At 41.2% G+C, this 12,408-nt stretch overlaps 1 protein-coding gene across 4 annotated transcripts in view; it reads left to right on the forward strand.

Annotated features, from left to right (window-relative positions):
* The first annotated feature begins 12,328 nt into the window (after nt 1–12,328).
* The window catches only part of RNF180 (ring finger protein 180), a 207,519-nt gene continuing 207,439 nt past the window's right edge, over nt 12,329–12,408 (forward strand). For 2 of the 4 annotated variants that reach the window (XM_047417118.1, XM_047417120.1), the window contains exon 1: nt 12,329–12,403. The gene's annotated coding sequence lies outside the window, so the exon portion shown is untranslated. The remainder of the gene's footprint in view (nt 12,404–12,408) is intronic. The other 2 variants (XM_017009388.2, XM_047417119.1) reach the window with 1 other exon arrangement.

A 12,408-nucleotide genomic window follows, 5' to 3' on the forward strand; every position in this document is an offset into this window, starting at 1 on the left:
TTTCAACCTTTGTGGACTGAGTAGGGGACTGATTCCCTTCTACACATACATACAGTTTTATGGGTGAGAAAATGATATGCAAAGGACCAACTTGCTAGTTCCTTCTCTCTGTGGGAATGAGCATGTGGTACAAGTCTCTACTGGAAGCTCAGTTCCAGAACTTTGCTGGAATTAAAGAGATATTACTTTTTGCATTGTGGTTGCTAAACTGGATGAATTTAAGCCTGGAGCTACTAGTGGCCAATCTTGCCACTACATAAACTGATTCTGCCTAAAAAGGAAGCCAGCACAGAGAAATAGAGGGAAAATGGTGAAAATAAATTGATGATGGCATCATATTTTGTTGTTAAAAACAAATAGTTCCTCTTCAAAGGGTTTCAATTCCTGGTTCTTTGTTCTATTCTAAAAGGTAATCGTACCCATTCATCTATCAGCCCTCCCTATCTCTGCTATGCCCAAACACCCCATGATGTACCATACCTGTCCTTCCCATCAAATGCCCACCCTTGCCTCCTTTGATGATGTCAACAGTAGCTTAGTTTACCCTAGATTGAAATTAGCCTAGATTGTGTGGTCCGACCCCAGCCCACAAGGGGAGGACACAGGAACAGGGTCTGCATTACAGATAAAAATCTCCTACTCTCCTTTGTTTTGCATGCTCTCCCTTGCCTCTGCCTTGCATGCAAGAGGCGCCCTTCTATAGAAGTAAATTGCCTTGCTGAGAAAACTTTTGCCTGAGTGCTAGTTTCACTTTGTGGCACCAAATATTTGTTTCTAACAATTTGGGGGCCTGCCCAGGATTCCCATTTTCCTCTGAGGAAGGGGTCTCTGGTCATCTCCCAGGGGGAGATGCGTCCCACTGCCTCACTGCAGTGGTCTCAGGGGCTAAAGATCCAGCCATCACCCACTGTGATGAATAAACCCAGACTCTCAGCAATGTGGGAAGGAAAGGCTTGCCTACAAATACCACAGTGACCAGGTAACTTCGTGCACAGACCAAGGTAAGAAAAGCCGCAGAGGGGGCAGCAAAGTATTTCCTTGGTTGTTGGGATATCTTGGAGGCTGAAAGTGTGTGTGAATGATCACTGCTTGTGGTGCTGCTTGTGTGAATGGTGATAAGTACTACTGCTGTGTGGGGTGAGTGGGTTCTATCTGCGGTTCCGTGGTCACCTCATATGGCTTAGGGCAGATCCTGCCATGGGGCTTATACCAGCACACCAATACTAAGAGGGACCTAATTTCCCACAAGGGAAGTGGCCAGATAGGACGAAGCGAATGGAAAGGAGTGCAAGAAACCTCCAGTAAAGGGGGTGAGCCTCTAGAGAAAAGGGAAGGCAAGAGATTTCTAGTAAGAGAGGTTGGACCACACACACACTCAAGGGAGCATCCAAAACCTCCAAGATGGGAAACACTCCTAATACAACAGGGAAAGATAAGGACGGGGATAGTCAGATCACCTCCAACAGTCCTTTAGGTCTCATGCTAAAATATTGGGAGGAGAAGGAGAGGACTAGGCACAAGAAAAAGCAACAGATGGTAAAATATTGTTGTTTCATCTGGGCCAAGGAACCCATCCTCAAATCTGCCATCTTCTAGCCAAAATATGGATCAGCTGAGGCTTGGGTCTGTCAACTTTTAATTCAGTATGTGAATGACAAAATTCCAGTCGCGCAGGAAGAAACAGACTATGCTCTCTGCTGGAGAAAAGAACCTGTTCTCCTCTTTCCCCTAAAGAATGCAGGGGAAGCATCAGATTTCACACTCCCCAAAGTAGGCATAGTAAAACCAACCCCTAGGCAGAGGACTCCCTATGCCTGGGACCCTCTTAAACCACCTTCTCCTGTTTAATTCCCCACGTCTTGACCTGCCCCCTTCCCAGGCAGCTGCTGCCACCCCAGACCCAGTCCCAGATCCTTCTCCTACTCCTATTATTCCTCCCCCTTATAAATCTGACTCTTGGGAATTACCACCACCCCATGAGTCTGCTCCTTGTCAGCCTAAGTATCCTTCCCTAAAGGGACTACAACGTGAAGTACAGCAATGTAAAAAAGATATTCAAAATCTTCCTTTCCCCTCTACCTCTAAGGAATCAGCTCCAACTATCTTCCCTTTGAGAGAGGTGCCCCAGGGAGGAGGAGCTATTGGCTTTGTAAATGCTCCTTTGACTAGTTCAGAAGTTAGAGGTTTAAGGAAAGAATTTAAGCCATTGCTAGATGACCCATATGGGGTAGCAGACCAAATTAATCAATTCCTAGGCCCCCAGTTATATACGTGGGCTGAATTAATGTCTATCCTGGGTATCTTCTCAGGGAAAGAAAGGGCGATGGTTCGCAGGGCTGTTATGACAGCTTGAGAACATGAACACCCTCCCAGCCCAAACGTTCCTGCAGCAGACCAGAAATTCCTGGCCCAAGATCCTGAATGGGAAAATAACAAAGCAGTACACTGGGAAAACATGAAAGATCTCAGGGAAATGATAATTAAAGGAACTCAAGAGTCAGTGCCCCTCACTCTGAATCTTTCCTGACATACAACAAGAAAAAGATGAAGGCCCCATGAAATTTCTACAAAGACTAAGGGAACAAATAAGGAAATATGCAGATTTAGATCCAGAAGACCCTCTCAGGCAAGGAATGTTAAAGCTACATTTTGCAATAAATAGCTGGTCAGACATAGCAAAGAAGTTGCAGAAACTAGAAAACTGGAAAAATCAGTCCATAGAGGAACTCCTAGGAGAAGCCCAAAAAGTGTGTGAGGAGAGATGAAGAAAAGCAAAAACAAAAAATGAAACTTATGCTATCCACCTTCCAACAGATGGCTTCAAGCCCATATGTTTTTAAACAGAGACTCTGGGTGGGGCAGGAATTATAAAGGGTCCAAACCCCTGTTTGGAGGACCCAAGCCTCCAACTAGGGGACCTGGACCCTCAGTTACCAGGCCCTCTAAAGAGTATGGAGGAGCAACGTCAAAGAATCCCGGAACTGAGGGAGAGGAAGAATAGAATAGGTGCTTCAAATGTGGAAGAGCAGGCCACTTCAAAAGAGAATGCCCCCAGTGGGAAAAAGAAAAAGAAATTGTTCTGCTCATGGCATTCAAGGAGGAATAAGGAGGTCAGGGGCTCTGTCTTTTCTATCTCAAGTCCCACCAAGAGCTCTTGATAAATTTAGAGGTGGGACCCAAACATAAGCTTATCACCTTTTTAATAGATTCAGGGGCTGCTGGTTCCTCTGTTTGCTATCGGCCCTCTAATATAAACTGCTCATTAGGGGAACTTCTTGTCTCAGGGGTGAAAGGGGAAGGATTTAAAGCCAAAGTTTTAGAAGAAACAAAAGTTAAATACAAAAATCAATCAGCCAGTATTAAATTCCTGCTAATCCCTGAAGCAGGAACAAACCTGTTAGGAAGAGACCTGATGTTAATACTAGGCATAGGCCTGCATGCCTGCCCTGAAGGATTTTTCACTTCATTGAACCTGCTCACCACCACAGAAAAAAGTTACATTCATCCCAATGTGTGGTCAAAAGAAGGGAACCAAGGGAAACTAAGAATCTCCCCCAGTTCATATAAAGTTGAAAACCCCTGGGGAAATAGTAAGGAGAAGGCAATATCCAATTCCTCTAGAAGGCAGGATAGGCCTGAAAACTGTGATTGAAGGTCTTGTTCAGGATAAGTTACTTGAACCCTGTATGTCTCCATATAATACTCCTATATTACCTGTAAAGAAATCAGATGGGTCATATCAACTAGTAAAAGACCTCTGGGCCATGAACCAAATAGTCCAAACCACTCACCCTATTGTCCCCAATCCATATACTATCCTCAGCAACATTCCATATGACCATCAGTGGTTTACAGTAATAGATTTAAAGGATGCCTTTTGGGCATGTCCCTTAGCTGAAGACAGCCAAGACATACTTGCTTTTGAATGTGAAGATCCTCATTCAGGGCGGAAGCAACAATACTGCTGGATGGTCCTGCTCCAAGGATTTACAGACTCTCCTAACCTGTTTGGCTAAATTCTTGAACAAATTTTAGGGAAGATATCTGTCCCAGAGTCTATATACATGCTCCAATATGTAGATGACATACTTGTGTCTGGGGAAACTCATAGAACAAGGATCTGATTTCTTCATCAGTCTTCTCAATCACCTGGAAGGGGAGGGATTACAGGTATCAAAGGGGAAGCTCCAATTCGTATAGCCTGAAGTATTTAGGGCACTTGATAAGTGCAGGCAAGCGAAGAATAGGACCCAAAAGAGTTGAAGGAATTGTGTCCTTACCCCTGCCTAGTACAAAACAAGAGCTTAGAAAATTTTTAGGGCTAGTTGGATATTGCCACTTGTGGATTGATTCAGATGCTCCAAAAGTCAAGTCTCTGGACTCCAAGCTTACCAAGAAAAACCCCACCCCCTCCGTGGGGCCCCAGAGGAAGTCAATGATTTTAAAGAATTGAAACATTTACCCATAACTGCCCCTGTTTTAGCTCTGCCTTCCCTCAAACAACCATTTCACCTGTTTGTCAATGTAAATAAGGGAGTAGCTTTAGGAGTGCTTACCCAAGAACATGGGGGCCACTGGCAGCCCGTGGCCTTTTTGTCAAAAATTCTAGATCCAGTAACCTGTGGATGGCCCAAATGTATTCAATCTATAGCGGCCACTACTTTGTTGATTGAGGAAAGTAGAAAGCTAACCTTTGGGGGAAAATGAATTGTTAGCACACCTCATCAAGTTAGAACAATGTTAAACCCAAAGGCAGGTAAATGGCTTACAGACTCAAGAATTTTAAAATAAGAAGCCATTCTATTAGAAAAAGGTGACCTCACCCTCACCACTAACAGTGCCCTTAACCCTGCTGCTTTCCTAACTGGGAATCCAAACCCCAAAGATCCTGAACATGATTGTTTAGATCTCATTGACTACCATACTAAGGTTAGACCTGATTTAAGAGAAACCCCTTTTGAAACAGGACGTCATCTTTTTATAGATGGCTCCTCCCGGGTGGTTGAAGGAAAAAGACACAATGGATACTTTGCCATAGATGGAGTTCTTGCCGAAATAGAATCTGGAAGATTGCCAAATAATTGGTCTGCTCAAACTTGCAAATTGTTTGTGTTAAATCAGGCTCTAAAATATTTATGAAAGCAAGAAGATACCATCTATACCTACTCCAAGTACGCCTTTGTGGGTAGTGCACACCTTCGGAAAAATTTGGACTGAGCGGGGTCTAATTAACAGCAAAGGGCAGGACCTTGTCCACAAAGGATTAATCACTCAAGTTTTAAAAAGCTTACAATTACCTGAAGAAATAGCTGTTGTGCATGTCCCAAGGCACCAGAAAATTTCTACCTTTGAAAGCCGAGGAAATAACCTTGCTGATCAAATTGCAAAACAAGCTGCCCTCTTTCAAAAAGCACCTATCTTCTACCTGACTCCCTGTCTCTCTCCCCTAGTTGCAATCCCTATCTTCTCTCCCGCTGAAAAGGAAAAGTTAGAGAAACTAGTAGCTAAGGAAAACTCAGAAGGGTAGTGGGTGTTACCAGACCAAAGGGAAATGCTTTCCAAACCACTTATGGGAGAAATCCTGTCCCGACTACATCAAGGGACTCACTGGAGACCTCAAGCTATGTGTGATGCAGTTCTTAGAGTCTATGGATGTATAGGAATTTATACCTTAGTAAACCAAGTTGTGGACAGCTGCCTAATATGTAAGAAAACTAATAAACAGGCCCTAAGGAAACAAACTTTTGGGGGCAGAAGCCCCAGATTAAGGCCATTTCAAAGTATTCAAATTGACTATGCTGACATGCCCCCACTAAGTCACCTTAAATACCTAATAGTAATAGTAGACCACCTCACTCATTGGGTTGAAGCCATTCCTCTCCTCAGTGCAACAGCTAATAATGTGGTTTAAGTATTACTAGAGAACATAATACCTTGGTTCAGGCTACCAGAAAATATTGACTCAGACAATGCAACTCATTTTACTGCAAATATCATTAAAGGGCTTATTCAAGCTTTAGGAATCAAATGGGAGTATCATACCCCCTGGCATCCATCCTTGTCAGGAAGAACAGACAGGATGAATCAGACTTTTAAGAATCATCTAACTAAGTTAATTTTAGAAACTCTATTACCCTGGACTAAGTGTCTCCCCATCGCTCTACTCAGGATTGGAACTGCCCCTCGAAAAGATGTTGGCCTATCCCCTTAGGAAATGCTCTATGGGTTACCATACTTAAGCTCCAGTAGTGATATTCCCACTTTTGAGACCAAAGATCAATTACTTAGGAACTATATACTTGGTCTATCTTCTACTTTATCTTCCTTTAGGACTAAAGGTCTCTTAGCACAAACCCCACCTCTTGAGTTTCCAGTCCATCAGCACTGGCCCGGAGACTACGTCCTCATTAAGAGCTGGAAAGAAGAGAAACTTGAACTGTCCTGGGAGGGACCATATCTAGTGCTCCTAACAACTGAAACTGCAGTCTGAACCACTGAGAAAGGATGGACCCATCACACCTGAGTCAAGAAAGTGCCCCCCCGAATCCAGGGCTATGGGCTATAGTCCCAGGGGAAAATCCTACCAAACTAAAGCTAAGGAAAGTTTAACTCTCTTTCATTTATTCTATTACTCCTTCTTCTTTCCTTTTTCTGTTGCTAGCCACCTCATTATTAATGTAACTAGATTAGACTCACCCCAAACCATTACCTTTGATGCTCGTTTAGTTATTTCTTGTGGGGATCTCCAAAGCCAGAGACAGCTTGCAGCAGCAGAGAAATATCTCTGCCCCATCCACAGCAGATGCTTCTAAATTGTTTAAGTACCTGTTTTGTCATACTTGGGAATATGTCATTTGGACCACTCAATGTCAAGACTGGGTCCCCTCAGAGGATTTCCCGCTAGCAGTTCTAAAGCCCTATAACCATTTTACTAAAGGAAGTGCCCCTCCCAACTGTCAACATAACCAGTGTAACCCTGTGCAAATTTCCATCACCATCCCAACTCTCCAAGATTCCTCCCCTACCCTAAACTGTTTTTATGGTATGGGAGCAGATGTAACAGGAAAAGACCCTATAGGTTTCTTCGAGTTGCACCTCATTACATCCTCATCCCTCACATTTCCACCTCTATCCTCTTCTAAACCTGCTGACCAGACCACTGTCTCTTCTCCACCTAATGACAAAACCAACATAGCTATTGTAGAGGTTAAAAATTTAAAACAAACACTGGCAATTGAAAAAGGATACCACGATGCAAATGCCTGGATGGAATGGATTGAATATTCTGTTCGCACTCTAAATAAAAGTGACTATTACGCTTGTGCGCATGGTAGGCCAGAGGCCCAAGTTATCCCCTTTCCACTTGGATGGTTTTCTGACCAGCTGGGCATGAGCTGTAAGGTGGCACTTTTCCAAGACCCCACAGCCTGGGGTAATGAATTCTGTCGAACTTTCTGCTATTCCCTGAAGTTCAACATCGTGCAGGTCAGCCCCTGAGAGCCATCCAGCCTCCATCTCCAGACACCAATTTTACTTCTTGTCTCTCACTACAGGGACAACATTTGGCATTTCTTGGAGACTTGAAGGGATGCAGTGAGTTTAAATCTTTCCAATAGCTTACCAATCAGTCCGCCCTTGTTCATCCCCATGCTGATATATGGTGATATTTTGGTGGACCTCTACTGGACACTCTGCCAAGTAACCGGAGAGGCACTTAGGCTTTAACTCAATTGGCCATCCATTTCACCCTGGCATTTCATCAACCAGAAAAAGGGAAACCACAACACCATAAAACGAGAGAGGCCCCTCATGGATCTTTCAACTCTCATGTTTATATAGATGCAATTGGAGTCCCACAGGGGATACATGATAGATTCGAAGCCCAAGACCAAATAGCTGCAGGATTTGAATCATTATTTCCATGGCTAACTATTAATAAAAATGTAGATTGGATAAATTACATCTATTATAACCAGCAGTGACTAATTAATTACGCTAGGGATGCTGTCAAAGAATTAGCCAAACAATTAGGGCCTACTAGCCAGATGGCTTGGGAAAACAGAATGGGCCCTAGATATGATATTAACAGAAAAAGGTGGAGTTTGTGTTATAATAGGAACCCAATGCTGCACCTACATTCCCAACAATACAGTCCCTGATGGAAAAATTACAAAAGCTTTACAAGGTCTTACCTCCTTATCAAATGAATTAGCCACAAATTCTGGGATAAATGACCCTTTCACAGGATGGTTAGGGAAATGGTTTGGTAAATGGAAAGGACTCATGGCCTCTATTGTTACTTCTCTTGCAATCGCAATAGCTGTGTTTATTCCTGTTGGATGCTGCATCATACCCTGCATTCGTGGACTAGTCCAAAGACTTATAGAAACAGCTGTTACCAGCACCTTCCTTAGTTCTTCCCAATCTTATACTAATAGATTATTTCTCCTGGAAGAACAACAAAGCTGAGTCATGTTAGGTAAGTTTGAATAACAAAATATATAAATTCAAGAGGGGGAAATTGCTGTTAAGAACAAACAGTTCCTCTTCAAAGGGTTTCAGTTCCTGGTTCTGTGTTCTATTCTAAAAGGTAATCGTAACCATTCATCTATCAGCCCTCCCTATCTCTGCTATGCCCAAACACCCCAAGATGTACCATACCTGTCCTTCCTGTCAAACACCCCTTGCCTCCTTTGATGATGCCAACAGTAGACAATCGGAATTAGCCTAGATTGTGTGGTCTGACCCCGGTCCACAGCAGGATAACACAGGAACAGGGTCTGTGTTAGGGATTAAAAAAACGCCTGCTCTCCTTTGTTTTGTGTGCTCTCCCTTTCCTCTGCCTTGTAAGCAAGAGGTGCCCTTCTGTAGAAGTAAATTTCCTTGCTGAGAAAACTTTTGCCTGAGTGCTAGTTTCACTTTGTGGCATTGAATATTTGTTTCTAACAATAAGAACACTTAGATCCACACATGCCTGAAGCTATCATAGGCTTATCCATACAAACTAGTGAATATTTGCCTTGGGCCAACTTGAGTTAGGTTTCTGTCACTTCACTGAAATGAGTCCTAACTAATGCACTTCTGGATGGAATGGACCGAGCAGTGCATTAGGCACTGCTCTCCAGAAACTGTTTCTTAAAGATCATTAATACTAACAACAATAGCTGATATTTATTGAGTGCTTACTATATACCAGGTATCATTTTAAGCACTTTGCTTGGGTAAAATCATTAAAACCTCACAATAACTCTACGATATTACTATTATCTCCTGTTTACAGATGAAAAAACTGAGGCACAGAGAGATTAAGAAACTTGTTCTCAGGTTATACACTTGTAAGTGGAAGATTTGAGACTCAAGCCGAGGAAGAGTTCCACACCTGTGCTATTCTACACTGCCTCAAGAGTCAGCATATCCAGTGGCCTTTTCTCATTCTCTTTAGCCTCTTTGTCCAGTTCGACTATGCATTTGCTCTTCAAACTTGCATAGAAAGCTTTAGGTTTCCAGTCCTTCTATTAGGAACTTCTTTAGGTTTTCTTCTGCTCTGCCTCCTAAATCTAAGGTTTTCCTAATAATTCTCTGCTCTTTTCTTGGTAATCTCACATACCTCTGTGCATTAACTCAAACCTCTAATTTTGAACTTCCTGCTGTTTCCAATTCACCCAATGTCCTGCTAGGGCCTCAAATGGCATGAATTGCATCACACAATGTTGGGTTTGTAGGAAGAAATTAAATTTTTTTATTATTTCAGTCTTGTTGGAAATTATAATTTATGCTAGAGGTTATAAAATTCAACCGTTAGGTAATGAGATTATTGACACAGGTGCTTTGGGAGGACTAAAGATTCAGCTAGCCATTATATCCGGTGTGATGAGAGATAATGTTAGTTAATATTTAGATACTAATTACCTAGTAGTTAAAATAAATCTGTACTTATTTTGTATCTTATAATCATAAAGCTGAGTTTTTGTCTGTCTTTTTACTAAAATGTAAATGATCTTCCTGAAATATTGAAAATCATACTCTTCGTTTGTACCTTTGAGATGATGAATATTTGTTAAGATGTTTATTAAAGGAAAAAGTGTTTCTTCACTTCTGGTTGTAAAATGACTGGAGAGGTTGTTTTTAGTTTATCACACCTGTGCAAATTAATTCCTCTCTAGAGTCATGGGTTCTCATACTTGACTTTTCTTTAGAATCATCTGATATCCCACATCAAGAAATTCTGATTGAATTGTACCACAGTAAGAACAGGGCATTGGTATTTTCACAAGCACTCCAGGTTATTCCAATGTGCTTCCAAGGTTGAGAATCATTGCTCAGAAGTTACACTTTTTAAGGTTGCTCAATAAATATGGGACACCCAGTTAAATTTTAACTTTTAGTAACCAAATATTTTTAGTGTGTTTTATACTAAGAATTAATTCACTGTTTATCCAAAATTCAATTTTAACTGGGCATCCTGTGTTTTTATTTGTGAAACTTGTCAACCTTATCATTTCTCTGAGTTCATCCCTGTGATTTCATCAGAAATAAGAGATTATATTACATTACTGAATTAGAAAGCATCAAGACTTTCATCTTGTCTTTCTTCTTTCAGTCCTGTTTGTAATAAATCTTGTACCTCCAAAAGTTTATTTCTTTAAAAAGGAAGCACTGCAAATTCAGCCAGGAGGCCAATCTTTTCCTCTAGAAGTTACCCACATTCTCCCTCTTGGGTGTTTCCAGGGTGGTTCCCTCCCGGAAAGGAAGGTCAAGTCTCTCTCAGGCTTCAAAGCTCTCTGACATTTCTTGCCATCTCATCTTTCTGATTCTAGGTGGAGAAAGTTTTCTGCTTTTAAAGATTCATGTGATTAGGCTGGGCCTACGTAGGTAATCCGAAATAGTCTCCCTATTTGGGTCAGTCACTTTTATGACATCAGTAAAGTCCCTTTTCTATATACTGTAACATCTTTGCAGGATCCAGAGATTAGAATGTGGACATTTTGGGGGAGCCATTCTGCCTACCACAGTTGTTGCGGGTGTCACCTTCACTTCTCTTTTCTATCAGATTCTCTGTCTAACCACTTTGTTATAGAATACATCCTCCAATTGCTTCCTGAGAAAGAATGCATGAAAATACTATTTAAACCTTTGTATATTTGAAAATGTCTTTTTAAACCTCATACTTCATCAATTTCAAAATTGGAAATCATTTTTTTCTCAGAATTTATCTTTTATTTATGTTTCTGTTGAGAATCCAATGCCATTCTGATTTCTAAATCTTCATAAATCACCTCCTATTTTTTCCTCCATGAAAGTTAAGATCTCTCTGACTCATGTGGTTTGAAATTTCACAACTTGGTTATAGAAAATTTTTATCCATTAAACTGAGAGCTCATGTGCTTCTGTCCTTTAGCTCTGAGAACTGTTGTCCTCGTTTTCTTTGGTAATTATCTTTCTTCTCTTTGTTCTACTAGCTGTTAGATATTCCACCTTTCCTTGCCTAACTGCCCTGGCTAGTGCCTCCACTATAATGTTGAATAGAAGTAGCAACAATTGACATCCTTGTCTTATTCCTGATTTTAGGTGAAAATGTTCATTCTTTCAAGATTAAGTATGATGTTAATTATGGATTTTTCAGAGGCTCTTTATTAGGTTGAAGAAGTTTCCTTTTATTCCTAGTTGAAGTGTTTATATCAAGAAAGGGTGTTAGATTTTGTCAATTGCTTTTCCTTCATCTTTTGAGATGATCATGTGGTTTTTACATTTAGTCTATTTAAAGTAGTGTGTTACATTAATTTTGTATGTCACACCAAACTTGCATTCCTGAGATAAATCCTACTTGGTCATGTTGTATAATTTTTTAAAATGTTGCTGGGTTTGGCTTGCTAGTATTTTGTTGAGGATTTTTATGTTACTATGCATAAGGTATATTGGTCTGTAGTTTTCTCGTGATGTCTTTCATTTTGTTCTTTATTTCCTTGTATTTCCAGATGGGAAGTCACTGCATACAGCCCTAATCTTAGGACAAGTTTCCAAGTAAGCCACTTCAGGCAAATAAAAATTTCTGTATCTAGCAGAGAAACAAAGCTGTATATTTTTTTTGAGGTTCCCTCCTAGCTCCCTTCCCTCTCCTCAAGCCAACTAATAAAACTTGCTTTTTATATTCCGAATCTTATTTATAGTCGTTTGATCATCTATGAGGCACCTGCAAGTCAACATTTACTGCACGCGGCCCCCTCACTCCCTAAATAAGCACTTTTGATTTACCGCCAGTCATCAACTCACCTCCCAACTGCAATTTGTCAAGAGTAGTGTCAGGTGCACTTTAGTGGTTAATCTCCTTGCACATCGGTGGAACTTTAGGCACAAGAAGGTAAGCAACGAAGATAGTGATATACGAAGGGAAAACTAAACCCAGGTAGC

This window comes from Homo sapiens, chromosome 5 (assembly GCF_000001405.40).
Source record: "Homo sapiens chromosome 5, GRCh38.p14 Primary Assembly".
Classification (NCBI taxonomy): Eukaryota; Metazoa; Chordata; class Mammalia; order Primates; family Hominidae; genus Homo; species Homo sapiens.